The following is a 24,080-nucleotide window of genomic DNA, read 5'->3' on the forward strand; positions in this document are numbered from 1 at the left end:
GGGGCCATTGCCCCAGTCCAGGGGTAGATTTTGGGTGGCCCCTGCCATGACCCCAGCCTCCAGAGGGGGTCCGTTGTGAAGGGCCGTGGTTGGCCAGCCCTGGCCACCCCACCAAGCCCTTGACCAGGGGGGTGGGCTCCAGTGGAGAGCCTCTCCCCTCCCTGTGCCTGCTGCTTCCAGGGTGACCTGACTCAATTCCTGGCAGGATTCTTTGCAGGGGCTGGCACTGGGGCCTTTTCATCCTCAGTTTCCCAGCAAGCCAGGGCCGGCAGAGCCCTCTGTCTGTGTCTTTCCTGCAGACCCGGGACATCTCCAGGTTCTGAGTGGCTGACATGCGCTTTCCACTGTGTTGAATTTGGGTTCTGTGGGCAGTGGTGACCCCCAGCTGCAGGCCGCAGGGACACACCTATTTGGCCAGATTGGGCCTGTGGAGAGTGGATTAAAAATGAGCACCCTCAGGAACCACGGGTGTCGGAAGGGCTGGGTGGAGGTCTTGGCCCCGTTGGCCGATTCAGAAGCAGAGTTTCTCTGACTGGTGATTTGTGGGTGGCACAGTGACCTTGTTTCCTTCTGTGCTTTGCGATGGTCTCAGAGTGACCTCGTTCTGCACAGATGTCTTCTGAGAGCGTTTTTGTCCGGCAGGAGAATAACATGATGTAGCTGCAAGCGTCAGATCAGTTTGTGAAAACATCGTGGTCCGGCTGTGAGCGGCCGCTCAGCTCCCCATGTCAGGGCGGCTTTCCTTCCTTCCCGGTGCCATTGGGACTTGTCGGGCGGGCCCTGGAGCCCTCTCTCTGCTGGTTGATAAATTATTCAGGCAATTCTCAGAACTGAGTTTAATCTGCTGTTGTTGAAAGGTGCCTATTTTTAATGCACTCTCCATAGCCAAGCCAAGGCCCTGAAAGTGGTGCTTTCACACACAGCCGTCAGGCCTCAGCAGGGGCTCGGCATTCGCTGATGCTCCTGCTCAGTGGGGAGGGGCCCAGCCATGCAGCCAGGGTCAGTGCGCTCCTTTAACACGCCTTCTCAGAGTGTCCGTCTACACTGTGGAGGAGTTGCAGAGCTACCCTCGGGTGCTGCTGCTGGTGGGCGGCCCCGTCAGAGGGGCCCGGGGACCTCCCTGCAGGGGCTCACAGCTGTGGCCAGGAAGAAGTTGCCCACCCTCGCTCAGCCTTGCCTTTCTCATCTGTTAAGTAGGGGTACTGAGTGCTCGACTCAGACGAGGAAACGAGGCCCTGGCGTCCATATGGGCTCAGACGCTGGGAGCTGCTTCACCCTATGAGGACAGGGCGGGCTGAAGTCCAGGAGACTTTTATGGGCTCAGACGCTGGGAGCTGCTTTACGGTATGAGGATGGGGGTGCTGAAAGCCAGGAGACCTTTGGCTGCTGGATGAGGGTGGAGTTCGCCAGGGAGCTCAGGATGTGTTTTGGAGTTGTCATGAAAGCTGGACCCCGAGGGATGGGGCACCGTTGGGGTCTTAGGCATGGAGGTGGAGTGTGAGGAGCCCTCCAGGTGAGGGCAGAGTCTATGTGGAGGCAATGGGGCCAGGCTGCGGACGAGGAGAGAAGCAGGGGAGGCCAGGTGTGGCTGGCCTGGGGAGCCAGAGGGAGAAGGCTGAGGCTTACTTTGGGAGCAGTGGGAGCCATGGGAAGATGCGTTTGTGGAGTTGCTCGCCCTGGACACAGGGGGAAGGTGCTTCAAGGAGGAGTAACTGTAGTAGACATACCTGCTAGGGATGCCATGATGGATGGATGGATGGATGGATGGTGGGTGGGTGGTAGATAGATGGATGGATGATGGGTGGGTGTGTGGATGGCTGGATGGAAAGATGGATGGATGAATAGATGGATGGATGGATGGTGGGTGGGTGGGTGGGCCATGTGGATGGATGGATGGATGGAGGGATAGGTGGGTAGCTAGATGATAGGTAGATTAGATGGATGGATGGATGGATAGATAGATAGACAGACAGGTGATAAAATGGATGGACTGGGCACTGTGGCTCACAATTGTAATCCCAGCACTTTGGGAGGTTGATGCGGGTGGATCACTTGAGGTCAGGAGTTTGAGACCAGCCTGGCCAACATGGTGAAACCACATCTGTACTAAAAATACAAACATTATCCAGGCATGGTGGTGGGTGCCTGTAATCCCAGCTACTTGGGAGGCTGAGGCAGGAGAATTGCTTGAAGCCAGGAGGTGGAGGTTGCAGTGACCCAAGATCGTGCCACTGCACTCCAGCCTGGGTGGCAGAGCAAAAAGTCTGTCTCAAAAAAAAAAAAAAAAGATGAATGAATTGATATGATAGATAGATGGATAGATAGATAGATAGATAGATAGATAGATAGATAGATAGATGGATGATAGATAGATAGTGGGTGGGAGGTAGATAGAAAGATAAGTGGATGGATGAATGGTTGGTAGGTGGGTGTGTGTATGGATGGATGGAAAGATGGATGGATGGATGGATAGCTAGACAATAGATAGATACATGTGGATGGATAGATGGATACATGGATAGATGGATAGGTAGATAGATAGATACATACATATATACATAGATGAAACACACACATGGATGGATAGATAGATTTATAGATGGATAGATTATGTAGATAGATGGATAGATGCATAGATGGATAGATAGATCAGATTATGTAGATAGATAGATGGATAGATGCATAGATGGATAGATAGATAGACTGATCGATCGACAGACAGACAGATAAATAAGTAGACAGATAGATAGGCAGGTAGGCAGGTGGTGAGGAGTGGCCTGGGCTTAGCAGGAGGGCTAGGAGGAGCAGCCTCGCATGAAGCTGCACTATCGTCAGGGTGAAGATCCGTTGCCCTTGGATTGTGTTTTCCACCCAACAGACTCTCACGAACATGATGTATTTGGTCCCCATGGATCTTCATCTGCACCATCTAGGGCAAGAGGAGATGTGGTGGTGTCCTGGCCACAAGCGCAGGCAGGACCCAAGGCTCTGGCTGTGTCCGGGGCCTCAATTCTATGTGTCCTGGAGGAGGCAGGGGTTCAGGAGTCACTGTGTGTCTCACTTAGAAAATGCTTGTTGCAGATCCAAGATATCGTCCGGAGGCGGCAGCTGCTGACTGTCTTCCGGGAAGGCAAGGATGGTCAGCAGGACGTGGATGTGGCCATCTTGCAGGCCTTGCTGAAAGGTGAGGGTCAGGGAACATGGGGGCAATGGGGTGGAGGCCAGAACGTGAGCTCTGAGGACGCCAAGTTCTAGTCTTGAAGTGCCATGATTCTGGGAACCAGAATATTCCTCCTTGGTCAGAAACCCTGGCCAGAGGGCAGCTGGCGACGTGCAGGTGGGCGCCTGCCTGTCACCTGATGTTAGAGGTATGAGCTCCTTTATTTGTAACTGGAATCCGAGTGCAGCCTGTGTCATTTTTACCTTTGTAGTGGTCATAATTTCTCATAAAACTTCAGGGTGGAAAGAAAGAGTGCAGAAGTTGCCTCTCTCAACTTCCTGCTTGCTGGCTGCTTTAGCTCCTCTACCTCTGATGCAGGAAAGAGTGTAGAGGTAGAGCAGGGCCTCAGGAATGGTGTGATGGACTTGAGCTGTAGTGGCTCTCTGTGTAACTTCTGTTGCTTAGCCTGGCCCATTCTCCAGGCCACAAACATCACTGTCCTCTTCTCATGCCACAGGAGAGAAGGCTTATGCCTCTTTGTCTTACCCAGCTGGCACCTGACACTGGGAAGCCTTGGTCTTATATGTGCTCCTCCCGCCCGATGCTGGGCTTCTCACCCTCCAGGGTCGGAGGCCCCAGGCTGATTCTGAAGGGCTCAGCAGAGTGGGCCCAGGCTGGGATCAGCAGGGAACTTTTGTGATAAAGGCCAGACTTTCATCTTGTTTCTGTGTTGATTTGAGACTCCCCTTATCAAGGACTTGATGTTGTGCATAAAACCTCACACAAACAGCGAGATGATAGACTACATATTAGACCACAAATTAAGCCTTAATTTATCTCTCAATAGATTTAAGATAGATATTATACAAATTATCTTCTCTGACAACAAGATGAAGTTAGGAATTAATAATGGATGTAAAAGTGGAAAATTCACAAAGTTGTGGAAACTAAACGACACTACCTTACACAGCCAATGGATGAAAGAAGAAATCAAAAAGGAAATCAAGAAACCAATGAAAACAAAAGCACAATATATCAAAGCTTATGGGACATAGCAAAAACAATGCTAATGGAGAAGTTTATAGCTATAAATGCTTACATTAAAAAATAAGATCTTAAACCAACAACCTAACTTTACAACTTAAGTAATTAGAAAAATAAGAACAAATGAAATCCAAAAGTAGCAGAATGAAGGAAATAGTACAGATTAGAGCAGAGATCAATGACATAAAGAATAGAAAATTGCAGAGAAAATCAATAAAGTGAAAAATTGGTTATTTGAAAAGATCAACAAAATTGACACACATTTAGCTAACTGGACTAAGAAAAAAGAAAGAAGATTCATATTACTAAAATTAGAAATGAAAGTAGGGACATTACTCCTGACTCTACAGAAGTAAAAGGATTCTGTGAATAATTGTATGCCAACATGTTGGATAACCTAGATGTGTTAGTCTGTTTTATGTGACTAAAACAGAATACCACAGACTAAGTACTTTATAAACTACCTAGTACTTTATAAATCAATCACTGACCATCCTTGCCTTCCCAGAGGATGGTCAGCATCTGGCAAAATTGAGGGGCCAGCATCTGGCAAGGGCCTGCCTCATGTCATTCCAGAATGGCAGCACATACATGCCCTTCCACTGGAAGGCAGAAGGGTAAGGGAGCACACAGATGCATGAAAGAGAGTAAGAAAGCAAGAGGGAGCTAAACTTGCTTTTTATAACAAGCCCACTCTTGAAATAACTAACCCACTCCCAAAATAAGACATTAATCCATTCATGAAGGCTTTGCCCTGTAATGGATCACCTCTATTAGGCCCCACCTCCCAACATTATTATACTGGGGATTACATTTACAACACATGAACTTTGGGGAAAACATTCAAGCCATAGCACTAGATGAAATGAACACATTTCTAGAAGCACAAAACCTACCAAGACTAAATCATAAAAAAATCAAAACTCTGAATAGACCTATAAGTAGTAAGGAGACTGAATCAGTAATAAAAAATCTCCCCATAAAAGTTTTAGGGCTGATAGCTTCACTGGTGAATTCTACCAAATGTTTAAAGAACTAACACCAATCCTTCTCAAACTTTCCCCAACAATTCAAGAAGGAAGGCTTCCTAATTCATTCTGTGAGGCCAGCATTATTCTGATACCAAAGACAGACACTACAAGAAAAGAAAACTACAGACCAATATCCATTATGAACATTGATACGAAATTCTTCAACAAAATATTAGCATACAAAATTCAGTAGCATTAACAGGATTATACACTATGACTACATGAGATTTATTCCTGGAATGCAAGGATGGTTCAACATATGAAAATTAATCAATACACCACATTAACAGAATGATGGGGAAAAAACATGATTATCTCAACTGATACATTTGACAAAATTTGACACCCTTTCATGGTAAAAACATTCAACAAATTAGGAATAAAAGGAAACTACCTTGATGTAATAAAAGCCATATATGAAAAACTCCCAGCGAATATCATGTTCAATGGTGAAAGACTGGGACATAGCAAAAACAGTGCTAATGGAGAAATTTATAGCTATACATGCTTACATTAAAAAATAAGATCTTAAACCAACAACCTAACTTTACAGCTTAAGTAATTAGAAAAATAAGAACAAATGAAATCTTTTCCTCCAAGATAGAAATAAGGGAAGGATGCATACTTTCACCACTTCCATTCAACATTGCGTTGGAAGTTCAAGCCAGAGCAATTAGACAAGAAAAAGAAATAAAACTTATAAATTGGGAAGGAAGAAGTAGAATTATTTGTTCACAGATGATATGATTTTCGTATTTGTCCATTTTCACACTGCTATAAAGAAATGCCCAAGACTGGGTAATTTATAAAGGAAAGAGGTTAAATTGACTCACAGTTCAGCATGCCTTGGAAGGCCTCAGGAAACTTACAATCATGGTGGAAGATGAAGGGGAAGAAAGGCACTGTCTTCACAAGGTGACAGGAAGAAGAGGTGCCAAATGAAGAAGGAAGAGCCCCTTCTAAAACCATCAGATCTCATGAGAACTTACTACCATGAGAACAGCATAGGGGAAACTGTCCCCACAATCCAACTACCTCCACCTGGTCTCTCCCTTGACACATGGGGATCATAGGGATTATAATTCAAGATGAGATTTGGGTGGGGACACAAAGCCTAACCATATCAATTTTCTATGCAGAAAACTAAAGATTCTACAACATACCCCTGAACTAAGAAATGAATTCAGCAAAGTAGCAGGACACAAAATCAATACACAAAAATCTGCCACATTTGCCAGGTGTGATGGCTCATGCCTGTAATCTCAGCACTTTGGGAGGCGGAGGTGGGCGGATCACGAGGTCAGGAGATTGAGACCATCCTGGCTAACATGGTGAAACCCCGTCTCTACTAAAAATACAAAAAATTAGCTGGGCGTGGTGGCGAGCACCTGTAGGGCATGGTGGCGAGCGCCTGTAGTCCCAGCTACTTGGGAGGCTGAGGCAGGAGAATGGTGTGAACCCAGGAGGCAGAGCTTGCAGTGAGCTGAGATCATGCCACTGCACTCCAGCCTGGGTGACAGCAAGACTCCGTTCCCCCACCACCAAAAAAAAATCTGCTGCATTTCTATACACTAAAAATGAATAATCAGAAAAGGAAATTGTGAAAACAATTCTATTTACAGTAGCATCAAAAAGAAAAAAAATACTGAGGAATTAATTAAACCAAGGGGGTGAAAGACTTGTACAATGAAAACTGTAAAACATTGCTGAAAGAAATGAAAGAAGACATAAATAAATGGAAAGACATCCCATGTTCATGAATTGGAAGCCTTAATATTGTTAAGATGTCAGTACTACTCAAAGCAATCTACAGATCCAATGCAATTCCTATCAAAACCCCAGTGATTTTTTTTTTTTTGCAGAAATAGAAAAGCCCATCCTAAAATTCATGTGGAGTCTAAAGGGATCCCAAACAGCCAAAATAATTTTGAAAGGGAAGAACAAAGCTGGAAGACTCACACTTTCTGATTTCTAAACTCACTACAAAGCTATAGTAATCAAAACAGTGTGGTAATGGTGTAAAGAAAGACATAGAGGGCTGGGTGTGGTGGCTCATGCCTGTAATCCCAGCACTTTGGGAGGCCAAAGTGGGCTGATTGCTTGAGCTCAGGGGTTTGAGACCAGCCCAAGCAACATGGTGAAACCTTGTCTCTATAAAAAATATAAAAGCTGGGCAAGGTGGTTCATGCTTGTAGTCCCAGCTGTGTGGGAGGTTGAGGGGAGAGGATCACTTGAGCCCAGAAGGTTGGGGCTGCAGTGAGCTGTGATTGCACCACTGCACTCCAGCCTGGGCAACAGAGCAAGACCCTGTCTCAAAAAAATCCCAAAAAGATATGGAGACCAATGGAATAGAATAGTGAGCCCAAAAATAAACCCTCGCATATATGGTCAAATGATATTTGACAGGAATGCAAAAATCATTCAGTGAGGAGAGGGACAGTCTTTTCAACAAATGATGCTGGATAAACTGGATATCCACATGCCAAAGAATCAAGTTAGACCCTTACCTAACACCATATACAAAAACTAACTCAAAGTAGATCAAGGACTTCTGAATATAAGACCTAAACTCTTAGAAGAAAGCACAGGGCAAAAACTTCATGACAAAGGATTTGGCAGTGGTTTCTTGGCCATGACACCTAAGGCACAGGAAACAAAAGAAAAAATAGATAAATTGGACTTTATGAAAATTAAATAATTTTGTGCATCAAAAGATATTATCAACAGAGTAAAAAGGCAACCCATGGAATGGGAGAAAATATTTGCAAATCATACATATGGTAAGGGATTGGTATCCAGAATATATAGAGAACTCCTATAACTCAACAATAAAAAAAAAACACAATTCAAAAATGGGCAAAGGACTTAAATAGACATTTCTTTAAAGAAGTCGTACAAATGGCCAATAAGCACGTGAAAAGATGCTCAGCATCACTAATCATTAGAGAAATGCAGATCAAAACTAAGAGATATCATTTCAAACACATTAGGATAGCTACTATAGAAAAGAACAGAAAATCACAAATGTTGGCCAGTGTGTGGAGAAACTGGAGCCCTTGTGCACTGTTGGTGGATATGTAACATGGTGCAGCTGCCGTGGAAAACAGGATGACAGTTCCTTAAATATTTAAAAATACAATTCCTATATGATCCAGCTATTCCACTCCTCAGATACATATGCCACTCCCCACCCCCAAATTTAAAGCAGGGTCTGGAAGAGATATGTGTATACTCATGTTCATAGCTGCATTATCCACAATAGCTAAAAAGTGGAAGCAGCCCAAGTGTCCATTGACAGAAGAATAGATAAGCAAAATGTGGTCTATACCTACAATGGAATATTACTGAGCTTTAAAAAGGAAGGAAATTCTGACACATGCTGCAACATGGTTGAACCCTTAAGACATTATGTTAAGTGAAATAAGCCAGTCACAAAAGGACAAATACTATATGATTCCAGTTACAAGAGGTCCCTGGAGTAGTCAAATTCATGGAGACAGAAAGTAGAATGGTGGGTGCCAGGATCTGGGGGAGAGGTGAATGAGGAGTTAATGTTTAATGGGGATAGAGTTTTAGTTTCCAAGATAAAAAGATATATGGAGAAGGACAGTGATGATGGCTGCACAACATTATGAATATACTTAAGACCAGTGAACTGTACGCTTAAAAATATTTGGCTGGGTGAGCTGGCTCATGCCTATAATCGCAGCACTTTGGGAGGCTGAGGTGGGAGGATCACTTGAGCCCAGCCTAGGCAACATGGAGAACCCTGTCACTACAAAAAAAAAAAAAAAAAAAAACTAGTCAGGCATGGTAGCACACACCTGTACTCTTAGTTACTCAAGAGGCTGAGGTGGGAGGATTGCTTGAGCCCAGGACGTTGAGGCTGCAATAAGCCTTATGATTATAAATATGATCACAGCACTGTGCTCCAGCCTGGGTGACAGAGGAAGACCCTGTCTCAAAAACAAAAACAAAAACAACCCAAAAAGTTAAGATGGTAAATTTTATGCTACACGTATTTTACCACAGTTTAAAAACATAATGAATTTTAAAATATCAACTTTATGAAGGTTCAGCTTAGAGACAATAAGCTCCCTCAATTCTAAATGTACTGTATAACAAGCACAGACACCGTGACCCACCACAGTCTCCATACAGGACATCTCCCCTATCCTGAATATTCCCTCATGGCCCTTTGTAGTTAAGCCTCCCTCCAGACTGGCTCTGGAAATCATCTGTCTGCTTTCTGTCACTCTAGATTAGTTTTGCCCATTTTAGAACTTCACGTGAATGAAATCATACATGATGCATTCTTTCATGTCTTGTTTCTTTTGCTCAGTGCATTGTTTTTGAGATTCATCCATGTTGTTGCATGTGTCAGAACTTTGTTCTTTTTTGTCTGTGAAGGAGTGTCCTGTTGTGTGAATACACCACAGGTTGTTTTTCCATTCATCTGTTGGGGTGCATTTAGGTTGTTTCCAGTTTGGGGCTATTATGAATAAAGCTGCTATTTGTCTTCATTTCTCCTGGGTCAATATCTAGGAGTGGAATTACTGGCCTTTATGGTAAGTGTATGTTTTACTTTGTAAAAAACTGACAAACTTTTCTGAAAATATTGCATTCTTTTTCCTGTGTGCTGGCAGTGGATGAGCGTTACCCTACATCCTTGTCCACACTTGGTGTTGTCAGTCTTTTAAACTGTAGCCATCCTAGTGGATGTGAAGTGACATCTCATTGTGGTTTGAATTTACATTTTCCTGAGGACTACTGATGTGGAGCATCATTTTAAGGACTTTTTGGCCATTTGCCTGTCTTCCTTCTGAAATGTCTTTCAGATCTCTTGTCCATTTTTATTTGATTGTTTGTCTTCCAGTTTTCGATTTGTAAGAGTTATTTATATATTCGGATACAAATCGTTCGTCAGATATTATTTTCTCATGGTGTGTAGTTTCCTTTCATATTTTCTTCAAGATGTCTTTGAAGAGCAGGAGGCTTAAAATTTTTTTTTTTTTTTTTGAGATGGAGTCTCGCTCTGTTGCCCAGGCTGGAGTGCAGTGGCGCGATCTCGGATCATTGCAAGTTCCGCCTCCTGGGTTCACACCATTCTCCAGCTTCAGCCTCCCAAGTAGCTGGGACTACAGGTGTCCACCACCACGCCTGGCTAATTTTTTGTATTTTTAGTAAAGACAGGGTTTCGCCGTGTTAGCCAGGATGGTCTCGATCTCCTGACCTCATGATCCACCCGCCTTGGCCTCCCAAAATGCGGGATTACAGGTGTGAGCCACCTCGCCCAGCCAATTTAATCAATTTTTCTTTATGGTTCATGTTCTTTGTGTCATAGCTAAGAGATCTCTGCCCATCCCAAGGTTGCAGATATTTTCTTCTGTTTTCTGACGGCAGTTTTGTAGACATAGCCTTTATGTTTGGGCCTAAGAACCGCTCCATGTTGATTCTTGTGTATGGTGTGAGGTAAGGGTCAAAGTTCTTTTTTCTTTTTCCCCAAATAACAACCCATGTTTTAAAAAGTTAAACCAGAAAGGGAACACAGAAACTACTTGAGCAAAATAACTTGTCCTGAGAACCAGTGAGGTGGTTGTTACTGTTGAACATTTACAGGCAGTTGAGGCAGGAAAGGAAATGTGATGGCTTCTGAGTCCTGAGTTTTGGATGTTAGTGTAAGATGCCTGCCCTCCAGAGACCTATGTCTTCTTAAAACAGTGAGGCCCTTTTCTTGCTTACTGCCCACCTGTCGCTTAGGGGCCAGGGCATGGCCAGGAGGAGGGCAGGGGAAACAGGAGTGAGTGGACGTGATGACCAAAGCCCCAAGATTCACTGATTCTGACTCCGAAATGGAACATGCTTTTGCAAGGCTGTGTGTATGGGAGGAGGTCACTGGGTGCTGCGCCTGTCACTTTGAATTGTTGAGAGGCAAGGGCTCATGACACATCCCTGACTCTGACATCATTTCCCTGGAGGGAAATGGCTTTGAGCTCCAGATCGAGGCCCAATATGCACCTGTTCATCTGCAGCCTCACGGAGCCAAGACCACTTTGGCCACGAGAACTGGGACCACCAGCTGAAACTGGCAGTGGCATGGAATCGCGTGGACATTGCCCGCAGTGAGATCTTCATGGATGAGTGGCAGTGGAAGGTAAGTCTTCCAGAGCACCCCGTGGAGGGGCCTACTGGGCCCACATGCATTGCACCACTGAAGCAAGGGCAGGCAAAGTTCGCATTGTCTGGATCCCAGCCCTTCCCTTGAGGGTGGGTGACCTGGGCAGCTTTCATCCTCCCCAGGTTGGGGACAACAGCAGCCCCCATCTCCAGGGTCTTTGAGATCAGGATGACATGGGGTGATGACCAAATGCAACCGTCACTGCACAATGCTTGCTCTCAGCCTTCAGATCTGCACCCCACGATGACAGCTGCACTCATCTCCAACAAGCCTGAGTTTGTGAAGCTCTTCCTGGAGAACGGGGTGCAGCTGAAGGAGTTTGTCACCTGGGACACCTTGCTCTACCTGTACGAGAACCTGGACCCCTCCTGCCTGTTCCACAGCAAGCTGCAGAAGGTGCTGGTGGAGGATCCCGAGCGCCCGGCTTGCGCGCCCGCGGCGCCCCGCCTGCAGATGCACCACGTGGCCCAGGTGCTGCGGGAGCTGCTGGGGGACTTCACGCAGCCGCTTTATCCCCGGCCCCGGCACAACGACCGGCTGCGGCTCCTGCTGCCCGTTCCCCACGTCAAGCTCAACGTGCGTGCTGGTAACGGGGCCCATCCTGGACTCGTCTTCGCGGGCTACTGCTATGTTCTTAGAGCTCTCTGTTTTTAAAATTAGCTTTTATTTTTATTAGAAAAGACACATGCTCTATCTTAGGCTGCTTGGGCTGCTGTAACAAAATTCCACAGATGGGGCAGAAACTACCAGTTTATTTTCTCGAAGTTCTGGAAGCCCGAAGTCCCAGATTAAGGCACCAGCAGGGCTGGCTTCTGGCCAGGGCCTCTTCTTGCTTGCACGTGGCTGCCCTCTTGCTGTGTCTTCACGTGACAGAGAGAGAAGTCTCTGGTGCCACTTCCTCTTCTTTTTCTTTTATTTATTTTTTATTTTTTTGAGACAGGGTCTCACTCTGTCGTCCAGGCTGGAGTGCAGTGGCGTGATCTTAGCTCACTGCAGCCTCAACCTCCCAGGCTCAAGCAATCCTCCCACCTCAGCCTCCCAAGTAGCTGGGACTACAGGTATGCGCCACCACACCTGGCTAATTTTTTATTTTTTTGTAGAGATGGTTTTGCTATTTTGGACAGGTTGGTCTCAACCTCCTGGCCTCAAGTGATCCGCTCTCCTCACCCTCCAAAAGGCTGGAATTTACACCCTCCAGCCACCGTGCCTTGTCTATTTTTATGTTTGAGACAGGGTCTGGCTCTGTGACCCAGGCTGGAGTGCAGTGGTGCAATCATGGCTCACCGTACCTTCCACCTCCCAGGCTCAAGCAATCCTCCTGCCTCCGTCTCTTGAGTAGCTGGGACTATAGGCATGTGCCACCACACCCAGCTTTTTTTTTTTTTTTATAATATTTTGTTGAGATGGGGTCTCATTATATGGCCCAGGCTGGTCTCAAACTCCGGGGCTCAAGTGATCCTCCTGTCTTGGCCTCCCAAATTGCTGGCATTGCAAGTGTGAGCCTCCGCACCTGGCCTCACCCCTCTTTTTATAAAGAGAACACACCTATCCACTTAGGAACCCACAATGTGGCCTCGTTTAACCTTAATTACCTTCTTAAAGGCCCTATCTCCAAATGCTATAGTCACACTGGGGGTTAGGGCTTCAACATATGAATTTTAGGGGGGACAGAGTTGCGTCCATAACATACCCTTTCTAAAAGTTCCAAACAGTACAAAAGGTTCTGCAGGGAGCGTGATCCCCCTGCCCTGAGCCCCACTGCTGCCCACTGTGTATGCTGGTTTTTTCCGACAGTCAGGTCAGTAACATTCCACCGTATTTTTGTGAGATGCCCAGGGTGCACTGCAGCTGTGGGAGAGTGGATGCTGTAGTCTGCACCCTGTGATTCAATGGGAGCCCTGCTCTAGTCTCACCTTTATTTAATGGTGAGACTGCCCCAGTCTCCAACCTTATTCAAGGGAACCCTGCTCTAATCTCCACCCTTATCCAATGGGAACCCTGCTCTAATCTCCACCCTTATTCAATAGGAACCCTGCCCTAGTCTCCACCCTGATTCAGTGGGAACCCTGCCGTAATCTCCACCCTGATTCAATGAGAATCCTGCCCTAGTCTGTTTACCCTTTTTCAGTGGGAACCTTGCAGTGACTCAATGTCAGGAATGATGCTGGATTTTGTATTTGTATTTCCTCTTGGGAGTATTTATCTCTGATTCATTAAGGTTTTACAAAGCAAAGCATCGATGCCTTTGAGAAGATTGAGCTCCTTTTCTTCTTTGACCTATGAATTTGGTGAATTATTTTAATAGATTTTCTGATAGTGAAACATGTTTTTATCCCTGTTTTGAATTTCAGCTTGGCCTCAGTGCAAGTTTAATATACTGGATTCTCTTGGCAACATTTTCAGGATGTTTGCATCAGAATGCTTAAGGCTTTGATTGCAGTTTTATTTGGGGGGCTATATTTGTCAGGCTCTGATATCAATTTTATGTTAGTTTTGTAAAAACCATTTGGGAAGCTTTCTTTCCTTCTCCGCTCCAGGACAGTTTATGTAGCTGGAGTTAACTACTTCTTATAAGCTTGGTCGACTCCCCTGTGAGTCCATCTGGACCCAGTGCCTTTTTTTTTTAATTGGTAATAGTTCTAGTAACTTTCTCAGTTTCTTTTCTGATTATTTTTCTGTTTAGGTTCTCTATCTCTTCTAAGATCACATTTTTTTTTTTTTCCTGCTAGAAAATTGTCTGTTTCCTCCAGGTTTTCCAATCGATCCATTGTTCCAGGTGAGCTCTGTCTGACTCTTGAGAAAGACATGGGTATGACTTGGTTTCTTTGTTTTTTGTTTTTGAGACAAAGTTTTGCTCTTGTTGCCCAGGCTGGAGTGCAATGGTATAATCTCTGCTTACTGCAACCTCTGCCTCCTGGGTTCAATTGAGTCTCTTGCCTAAGCCTCCCAAGTAGCTGGGATTACAGGCGCCCACCACCATGCCCAGCTAATTTTTTGTATTAGTAGAGATGGAGTTTCACCATGTTGGCCAGGCTGATCTGGATCTCCTGACCTTAGGATCCACCCATCTTGGCCTCCCAAAGTGCTGGGATTACAGGCGTGAGCCACCGTGCCAGGCCGGGTATGGCTTGGTTTTATACATTCACGATCTGCACTTCTTAAGTCCAGTGCGTTTATTTAAGACGCTCAGTTGGAATATGCTTAGGAAGGTCCAAAGCAGAATCTCAAGCTTATCTGTACCTGTGGTTTAGGAAGAAAAACACATTTCTTTTTTTTTTTTTTTTTTTTGAGATGGAGTCTTGCTCTGCTGCCCAGGCTGGAGTGTAGTGGCGCAATCTTGGCTCACTGCAACCTCCACCTCCTGGGTTCAGGCCATTGTCTTGCCTCAGCCTTCCGAGTAGCTGGGACTACAGGTGTCCGCCACCACGCCTGGCTAATTTTTTGTATTTTTAGTAGAGATGGGGTTTCACTGCGTTAGCCAGGATGGTCTCGATCTCCTGACCTCGTGATACTCCCGCCTTGGCCTCCCAAATTGCTGGGATTACAGGCGTGAGCCACCGTGCCAGGCCGGGTATGGCTTGGTTTTATACATTCACAATCTGCGCTTCTTAAGTCCAGTGCGTTTATTTAAGACACTCAGTTGGAATATGCTTAGGAAGGTCCAAAGCAGAAGCTCAGGCTTATCTGTACCTGTGGTTTAGGAAGAAAAACACATTTCTTTATAATGAAAAACCTTCAGGAAATTTCTAGGATCACTTGAGGTGTGTTTTGTACAGTATGTGATGTGGGAGATGGTTTTTTTTCTACTTCTGGGGAGCGTTTCCCAGCTACCTGAGTACGTGTTTCCTGGTCCGGGGAAAAGCCTAGCCATGCAGGGAGGTGGGTCTGGGCAAGGTGCCCTGTGCTTGCTCGTGAGTGAGCCATATTGCCCACCTGACAGATCTTTCCTAGTGGCCTCTCTGCCAGAGACACTGCAGGAGAGTCCCTCAGGGAGAAGACAGTCACTGACCTATTAACATACTCCACTGTGCTAGAATTTTGCTTCGTTGAAAGCAGCTTTGATGCCATCAGATAAGACTGGGGAACTTGAAGTGCCTGGCATGAAACAAGAGTCTACACATGTTGGTAAAGGAGTTAGACGGGCGTTTCACTTTCTAGATGTCTCCAGAACAGTGTTTTAAAAAACTTCAGTGTGCATAAGAATGATCTAGGGTGTTGCTGAAAATGCAGGTTGTAGTTCTCCAGGGACAGTGAGATCCTGAGAAGGTCGGGGCTGGGGTCAGGGCCTGCACCTCTGACAGGCTCCGCCAGTGACTCTGAGCCAGGCGGCCCGGCTGGGGCTCTGACAGTTCACTGCTCACCAGGTGCAGGGAGTGAGCCTCCGGTCCCTCTACAAGCGTTCCTCAGGCCATGTGACCTTCACCATGGACCCCATCCGTGACCTTCTCATTTGGGCCATTGTCCAGAACCGTCGGGAGCTGGCAGGAATCATCTGGGCTCAGGTAATAAGACTGGCTTCTCAGTCTCAGCAGACACAGCTATAGGCCAGCGGCCAGCTGGGGAGTGTGGCTGGAGAGAGTGGCTGGAGAGCCTGAGGCCAAGTGCACGTGGAGGCTGTGGAGGGGTGTGGAGGGGTGTGGAGGGCTGTGGAGGATGTGGAGGGGTGTGGAGGGCTGTGGAGGGATGTGGAGGCTGTGGAGGGGTGTGGAGGGGTGTGGAGGGCTGTGGAGGATGTGGAGGGGTGTGGAGGGCTGTGGAGGGATGTGGAGGCTGTGGAGGGGTGTGGAGGGGTGTGGAGGGCTGTGGAGGATGTGGAGGGGTGTGGAGGGCTGTGGAGGGGTGTGGAGACTGTGGAGGGGTGTGGAGGCTGTGGAGGGGTGTGGAAGCTGTGGAGGGGTGTGGAGGGGTGTGGAGGGCTGTGGAGGATGTGGAGGGGTGTGGAGGGCTGTGGAGGGATGTGGAGGCTCTGGAGGGGTGTGGAGGGCTGTGGAGGCTGTGGAGGGGTGTGGAGGGCTGTGGAGGGATGTGGAGGCTGTGGAGGGGTGTGGAGGGCTGTGGAGGGGTGTGGAGACTGTGGAGGGGTGTGGAGGCTGTGGAGGGGTGTGGAGGCTGTGGAGGGGTGTGGAGGCTGTGGAGGGGTGTGGAGGCTGTGGAGGGGTGTGGAGGCTGTGGAGGGGTGTGGAGGGGTGTGGAGGGCTGTGGAGGGGTGTGGAGGGGTGTGGAGGGCTGTGGAGGGATGTGGAGGGCTGTGGAGGCTGTGGAGGGGTGTGGAGGATGTGGAGGGGTGTGGAGGGCTGTGGAGGGATGTGGAGGGGTGTGGAGGGGTGTGGAGGGGTGTGGAGGGCTGTGGAGGGATGTGGAGGCTTGTGGAGGGCTGTGGAGGGATGTGGAGGCTGTGGAGGGGTGTGGAGGGGTGTGGAGGGGTGTGGAGGCTGTGGAGGGATGTGGAGACTGTGGAAGGGTGTGGAGGCTGTGGAGGGGTGTGGAGGCTGTGGAGGGGTGTGGAGGCTGTGAAGGGGTGTGGAGGCTGTGGAGGGGTGTAGAGGGGTGTAGAGGGTTGTGGAGGCTGTGGAGGGGTGTGGAGGGCTGTGGAGGGGTGTGGAGGGGTGTGGAGGCTGTGGAGGGGTGTGGAGGGTTGTGGAGGGGTGTGGAGGGGTGTGGAGGCTGTGGAGGGGTGTGGAGGGATGTGGAGGGATGTGGAGGGGTGTGGAGGGGTGTGGAGGGGTGTGGAGGCTGTGGAGGGGTGTGGAGGGATGTGGAGGGGTGTGGAGGGGTGTGGAGGCTGTGGAGGGGTGTGGAGGGATGTGGAGGGGTGTGGAGGGCTGTGGAGGGGTGTGGAGGGCTGTGGAGGGGTGTGGAGGGGTGTGGAGGGGTGTGGGGGGTTGTGGAGGGCTGTGGAGGCTGTGGAGGGTTGTGGGCGTCTCCAACACTGGGAAGGACTTGGGGCACCTGGAGTTGGAGAACAAAGAACTTAGCTCTAGGCAGGAAAGGAATTTTTTTTTTTTTTGAGACGGAGTCTTGCTCTGTTGCCCAGGCTGGAGTGCAGTGGCACAATCTCGGCTCACTGCAACCTCTGCCTACCGTGTTCAAGCGATTCTCCTGCCTCAGCCTCCTGAGTAACTAGAACAACAGGCATGTGCCACCACGCCTGGCTAATTTTTTATAATTTAGTAGAGATGGGGTTTCACCATATTGGCCAGGCTGGTCTCGAACTCCTGACCTCATGATCCGCCTGCCTCGGCCTTCCAAAGTGCTGGGATTACAGGCGTAAGCCACTGCATCCGGCCCAGGAAAGGAATTTTTAAATTAAAAGTTCTGCTAAAAAAAACTGGTTCTGTGGTTATGTCCAGGGCCGAGTCTCACTGGGCACGCACAGGCCGGGTGGTGCCGCCCTCTGCAGCTCACACGGGTTCCGATGGGGGCTGGTGCATGTGCTGGGCCCGTGCTGTCCGTCAGGCTTTGCAGGGCAAGCAGACCCCTCCCACAGGCCACGCAGGAGCCTGGGCCATCATCAGAGGTTGTGTATTGACTGGGGTGGGGCTTAAGTTGTCTGTATAGATGTGGTCACACACAGTGATTGCCCAGTGGCCCGCACTGTCCCCGGGCCTCGTTTTCATCACCTGGGGCAGTGTGTTGGGTTCCTCAGGCTGGGTTGAGCCTGGCTCTTTAGTCTCACGGTGGCTCCTCTGGTCCCCAGAGCCAGGACTGCATCGCAGCGGCCTTGGCCTGCAGCAAGATCCTGAAGGAACTGTCCAAGGAGGAGGAGGACACGGACAGCTCGGAGGAGATGCTGGCGCTGGCGGAGGAGTATGAGCACAGAGCCATCGGTGAGCTCTGCCGGGCACGGGCTGCAGGCCATGGCTCAGCCGTGCATGCCCTCACCTGGAGTTCCCATCCCTGGGTCTCAGCCCCATGTGCCCTCACCCTGGGGTCCTCGTCCCTGGGCCTCAGCCCTGCACGCTTACCCTGGGGTCCTCATCCCGGAGTCTCGGCCCTGTAACCACCCAGTGGGTTCGTCTTGCCTGCTGCTCAGATAGAGCCCATTTGTTAAGACAGCGAGATTGCAATAGAGAAAGAGTTTAATTCACACAGAGCCGGCTGAATGGGAAGCTGGAGTTTCATCACCCAAATCAGTCTCCCTGAAAATTTGGAGACTGTTTTTTTTTTTTGAGATGGAGTGTCGCTCTGTTGCCCAGGCTGGAGTGCAATGGCACAATCTCGGCTCACTACACCCTCTGCCCTCTGGATTCAAGCGATTCTCCTGTCTCAGCCTCCCGAGTAGCTGGGATTACAGCTGCCTGCCACCACAACTGGCTAATTTTTGTATTTTTAATAGAGATGGGGTTTCATCATATTGGTCAGGCTGGTCTCAAACTCCTAACCTCAGATGATCCGCCCACCTCGGCCTCCCAAAGTGCTGGGATTACAGGCGTGAACCACCACGCCTGGTGAGACTGGGGTTTTTTAAGGATAATTTGGTGGGTAGGGGGCCAGGCAGCGGGGAGTACTGATTGGTTGGGCCAGAGATGAAATCACAGCGGGTCAAAGTGGGTTCTTCTCACTGTCTACTATTCATGATCACAGGGGTCGAAGTGGGTTCTTCTCGCTGTCTGCTGTTTCTGCGTGTGGTCACAGAACTGGTTGCACCAGATCTCCAGTCGGGGTGGCGTCAGTGAAGCATCAGAATGCAGGCTTTCAAAATATCCTGGGTTTTCCAATAGTGATGATATTCCTAGGAAGAGTTGGGGAGGTTTGGAATCTTGTGGCCTCTGGCTGCGTGACTCCTAAACCATAATTTCTAATTTGTGGCTACTTTGTTAGTCTTACAAACGCAGACTGCTCCCAGGCAAGAAGGGGGTTCGTTTCGGGAAAGGGCCGCTATCATCTCTGTTTGGAAGTTAAACTATAAACGAAGTTCCTCTCAAAGTTAGTGTGGCCTATGCCCAGGAATGGACAAGGGCAGCTTGGAGGTTAGAGGCAAGATGGAGTCCATTAGGTCAGTTCTCGGTCCCTGTCTGAGTTTTCTCCCTGTTGTCATTTTTGTAGAGGCAGTTCCAGCCCTACGTGCCCTCTCCCTGGGGTCCTCGTCCCTGGGCCTGGGTGTTTTGAGACACCAGCCCCACATTTGCCCTGTGCCCTTCCCTGTGTCCTGGTGGTGCTGTCCCGAGTGGTTGCCCTCTGACCCGTCCCCAGGGCTCAGTGATTGTGACCTGCTGCTCTGACGGGGCTCTCATATCTCCGCCCAGGGGTCTTCACCGAGTGCTACCGGAAGGACGAAGAGAGAGCCCAGAAACTGCTCACCCGCGTGTCCGAGGCCTGGGGGAAGACCACCTGCCTGCAGCTCGCCCTGGAGGCCAAGGACATGAAGTTTGTGTCTCACGGGGGCATCCAGGTGACCTCCCAAGAGCCCCTTCCAGAAACAGACGCCTGTGGTGCCTGCAGGGCGGACACAGCCTCCTGTTCGTGCAGTTGGCACGCACACTCACACAGGCTTCAGGGCCCTCAGCAGCTCGGGGACAGCGCCTGACCCCTCGGCCACCTGCTCCAGGCTCTGGCCTCCCATTTTGCAGATGGGGGGAAGCTAACATGAAGCAAAAGCAGGAGCTGGTGGCCATGGAGATCGCAATTCACCTCCCCATGGATGTTCCTACCTGGGAGCGGCAGGCAGAAGCCCAGGTGGCTCTGGGAACGGCGTCTGCCCTCTCTCCCTGGAGGGATAAGCGGGACACGGCGTGTCCTCCCTGGAGCAGCAGGGGCTCCCAGGCATGGCTGCCCTCAGCATCGCCCTGGAACCCCCGGCAGGGCCTGGCTCCCAGCGAGTGCCCCTTGCACGCTGGGCTTCCTTGGAGCGCCGAGCTATTGCCAAGTCCATGAGCTCCCGTCATGTCCTGGGCTGTGCCAGGCCTAGGGAGGCCTGGGGAAGGGTCCTGTCCCCCACTGCAGAGCTCAGAGGGGCCAGTGCTCTACAGCCTGCAACTGCGGGGCCTTCGAAGCCAGCAGAGATGGGGTCCCATAGCTTGAGGTCAGGTGAAAGGCGGGATTGGACACCCAAAGCCCCAGGGCAAGCTCTGTGTCTTCACCACTTTCTGCTGTGAGACTGCAGGCTAGCTCTGTCCACTAGGCACCCCGAGTCCTCAGCAGACAGCTGACGGGCACCATCTGGGGCACAGGGCTGGGCACTGCCATCCTGAGACTGCCCCCATCCGCAGGCCTTCCTGACCAAGGTGTGGTGGGGCCAGCTCTCCGTGGACAATGGGCTGTGGCGTGTGACCCTGTGCATGCTGGCCTTCCCGCTGCTCCTCACCGGCCTCATCTCCTTCAGGTGCTGCAGGGCTGCGGGGCTGCGGGACTGTGGGGCTGCGGGGCTGCGGGAGAGGCTCCTGGGGGCTCAGGATCTTCCCTAGATCCCCTCGCTGGGAGCAAGTCATGTGTCCTCAGAATTGTCCCTGGATCCTGGGGCTGTAGAGATGGGGGTGGGAAGCAGAGCAGGGCCCCACGTGCTGGAAGCACCTGCCTTGCCCCAGCCCCAGCACTGATCTCATGATGCTGATGAGCCCGTCCCTCAGCCACATCAGCCTGGGGTTGGGGAGGCCAGGAAAGATGGTCTCCTGCTCCTGCCGGCACTGTAGACCTGAGCCAGTCTGCGGCGTGGGCAGTTAGTGCAGGTCTGGGATGCGAGCAGCGAGCTGCGGCTGAGTGCCTCCCTGTCCTCGCAGCCGCAGAGCCTGTATTGATGGAATCGCTTTCCCTTATGAAGGAGGAGGACACGGCTGGCCATGGTTGAAGACCTGGCCTGGCCTGGTGTCCCCACCTGCACCTCCTCAGAGGCTTGCTGGGGCGTTGTGGGATCTGCTGTGTTTTACTGAGGGCTGGATGGAGGCTCAGGGTCTCCTGGGAGTCAGGGCAGATTCAAGACCCCAGCGAGGTGGCTGAGCCCCTTCTGCAACCCGCAGTCCACACTGCCTGCCTCCTTCCCTTTCTCCTCACGGCCAGGATGGGTACTTGAGTGTTCAGGAATCCTGGTGGGAAACTGAGGCAGGGAGGAGCGGCTCAGGTGTCCTAAAGCAGTGCTGGCTTCTCTCCTGCTCTCCCGAGGATGGCAGAGCCGTGTCACTGATGGCCGCCTCTGCTCCCGTTCCAGCGGCCCGGGGATAGGGACCTGGGATCAGGGCACACCACAGGGGGAGTGTGGTCAGCCCCACCCCCATTGAGGACGGCAAGGAAAGCCTGTCCCCATTTACAGGAGGGTGACTAAGGCCTGAGCGTCCACTGAGCACTGGGAGCTCTGAAGCTGGGGCCCACCCAAGGCTGGGCTTGGGGCAGGCTGGGCCTCCCTGTTTGCAGCCATTAAGGTCATGGCCATGGGCAGGGCGTCAGCGGGCATCCCTGTGTCCTCACTTTGCTGGGCTGTGGGGTCCAGCCCCACCCCGGTGGCTGTGTGTGAGGCTCCCAGGCTGTGCTGTGCCGGCTCCGCCTGTAGCTGCCGTTATGGCCCCGGATCCCTGAGTGCTTTTGCCTCTAAAAGCACATCTCTCTGAGGGGCACGGGGGATCACGGGGTGGCCAAAGCCTGTGGAGGTCAGGACCCTGGCCCTGGTGGTCACTGTCTCCTCTCTGCTGTGACGGCCGCAGGGAGAAGAGGCTGCAGGATGTGGGCACCCCCGCGGCCCGCGCCCGTGCCTTCTTCACCGCACCCGTGGTGGTCTTCCACCTGAACATCCTCTCCTACTTCGCCTTCCTCTGCCTGTTCGCCTACGTGCTCATGGTGGACTTCCAGCCTGTGCCCTCCTGGTGCGAGTGTGCCATCTACCTCTGGCTCTTCTCCTTGGTGTGCGAGGAGATGCGGCAGGTACAGCCCCACCCGCTTTTCCACGCCCCAGCCCGGGGCCACCCACTTGGCTGCATTCTCATAGGGGACCCATGGCTTAGAGCCCACCCCATCTAGCCTGCCCAGCTCCCTGCAAGCTGAGCAGAGCCGGTGTTTCCTCCCCAAAATGGGTGGCTGGGGCGCTGCCCTCCAAGCCCCTCCCTCCTCATGCCCCCTGCGCCTGCTTCCCTGCTTTCCCTCGGCCCAGGCATCCTTCCCTCCTGGAGACCGGCTGATCAGCTCAAGGTGGATGCCCTGACCTTGTGGACTATGAGTATGTCCCTTCCCCCAGGAAGAGCAGTGCAAGGTGTGGGGTCCCTAAGACCCCTCTCACGTTCAATAACGAGCCAGAAGGACCCACAGACGCTGGGGAGTGGCAATGCTCACTTATGGTTTATTAAGCAACAGTCTACAGACTAAACCAGCCAGGGGGAGGGACGCAGCTGCATCCAGGACAGCTCTGAGCCCAGGGCATCCGGCCAGTCCCTCCCTGTGGAGGTGTGGGTGGCACTCCATCCTCCCGGTGATGATGTGTGGCCTCATGCATGGAGGCACGTCCCCAGAGAGGCTCGCGGGCCTTGGTGTCTACTGGAGGTCAGTCACAGAGGCGAGGCTGACACCACATGGTTGACCTCAGTCTCCAGCCCTCCAAAGGTCAAACTGAAAACTGCCCGGGGCCCCACCCCAAATCACACTGTGGGACCACCTGGCATGGCCCAGGCCCCAGGAACAAAGACACCCTCATCAGGCGGACATTCCAAGGGCTCAGAGGCTATCTCCCTGGAGCTGGGCGAGGCCAAGCTGCCCCCCAGGTGGGGCGAATCCCTTACTGTGTGGGGTCTCCACTGTGCCCCCACGGTGCCTGCACCTGCTGGCAGCCGGTGAATGGGAACTAGGTCCTTGGAACCCTCAGGGCAGTGGTGAGGGGGTGGGGTCAGCCCACGGGGCAGTGGTCCTGGCTTAGACTTACCTCTGCTCTCTAACCTTGGTGGACCACCAGGCCCCCAGTTACCCCAGTTAGAAAGCAGTGTGCACTGTGTAAATACCACTGCCTACTGGGGCCCTGGGGGAGGCACCGGCGTCCCCAGGAAGGAAGATCAGGTCCAGGACTTGGCGGGGCCTGGGAGCTGTGCTGTGGCCCTGGCTCTGCTGGGCTCTCCTTGGCTCTCCTCTTGCCACAGGGCTTCTGCCACCAGACCCTCTCTACAAGGGGCCAGAGGCCTCCATGCACCCCCAGCCCCAGCCCCATGGGCAGCAGCCTGAGAGCAGAGGGGGCACTTCCTTCTCCCTGCATCTGTCTGTGATCCAGGGAGGGCCCTGGTTGGTCCTGCTGGTCACCTGCCCCACCTGTCCAGCTGCTGGGTCCTGGGGCCTGGGGCTAGGGAGGGTGTGGGGACTCCTGCCAAGTAGGCCAAATGGGGGCTCCCACAGCCCCTGCCAGGTCCTGCACTCTTGGCCTGCTAAAGAAACAGTGTGGCCCCTGACAGAACAAAGATCCTTGTGGGAAGGCAGCTGGCGCCTGACATTGAGGGCGCTGCTCCAACACACACACACATGCACACACATGCATACACATACAGGTACATGCACACACATGTACACATGCACACAAATGCACACACACATAGGCACACACACATACATACATGCATATGTACACACATACATGCACACACATGCACACAGTACACACATAGGCACACACATTCATGCATATGTATACACACATGCACACATGCACACACATGCATACACACATGCATACACATACATGCACACATATACACATGCATACACACAT

At 50.9% G+C, this 24,080-nt stretch overlaps 1 protein-coding gene across 10 annotated transcripts in view, besides 1 other annotated feature; it reads left to right on the forward strand.

Annotated features, from left to right (window-relative positions):
• Positions 1 to 24,080, forward strand: part of TRPM2 (transient receptor potential cation channel subfamily M member 2) — a 92,504-nt gene that overhangs the window by 29,496 nt on the left and 38,928 nt on the right. For all 10 annotated transcript variants that reach the window (NR_038257.2, NM_001433516.1, XM_011529736.3 and 7 more), the window contains 8 exons: positions 3,082 to 3,184; positions 11,268 to 11,389; positions 11,636 to 11,989; positions 15,778 to 15,915; positions 18,111 to 18,240; positions 19,660 to 19,805; positions 20,623 to 20,735; positions 22,045 to 22,261. Coding sequence is in view for 9 of the 10 variants with exons in the window: in NM_001433516.1 (NP_001420445.1) it covers positions 3,082 to 3,184; positions 11,268 to 11,389; positions 11,636 to 11,989; positions 15,778 to 15,915; positions 18,111 to 18,240; positions 19,660 to 19,805; positions 20,623 to 20,735; positions 22,045 to 22,261 (1,323 nt within the window). In the remaining variant the exon portion in view is untranslated. The remainder of the gene's footprint in view (positions 1 to 3,081; positions 3,185 to 11,267; positions 11,390 to 11,635; positions 11,990 to 15,777; positions 15,916 to 18,110; positions 18,241 to 19,659; positions 19,806 to 20,622; positions 20,736 to 22,044; positions 22,262 to 24,080) is intronic.
• Positions 22,468 to 23,391: an enhancer, noted in NCBI's record as "H3K4me1 hESC enhancer chr21:45821987-45822910 (GRCh37/hg19 assembly coordinates)". NCBI's record gives its function as "activates a minimal SCP1, AML or CMV promoter by ChIP-STARR-seq in naive H9 embryonic stem cells {active_cell/tissue: H9 hESC(naive)}" and the evidence as "EXISTENCE:reporter gene assay evidence [ECO:0000049][PMID:30033119]".

This window comes from Homo sapiens, chromosome 21, assembly GCF_000001405.40.
Source record: "Homo sapiens chromosome 21, GRCh38.p14 Primary Assembly".
In the NCBI taxonomy this organism is placed as follows: Eukaryota; Metazoa; Chordata; class Mammalia; order Primates; family Hominidae; genus Homo; species Homo sapiens.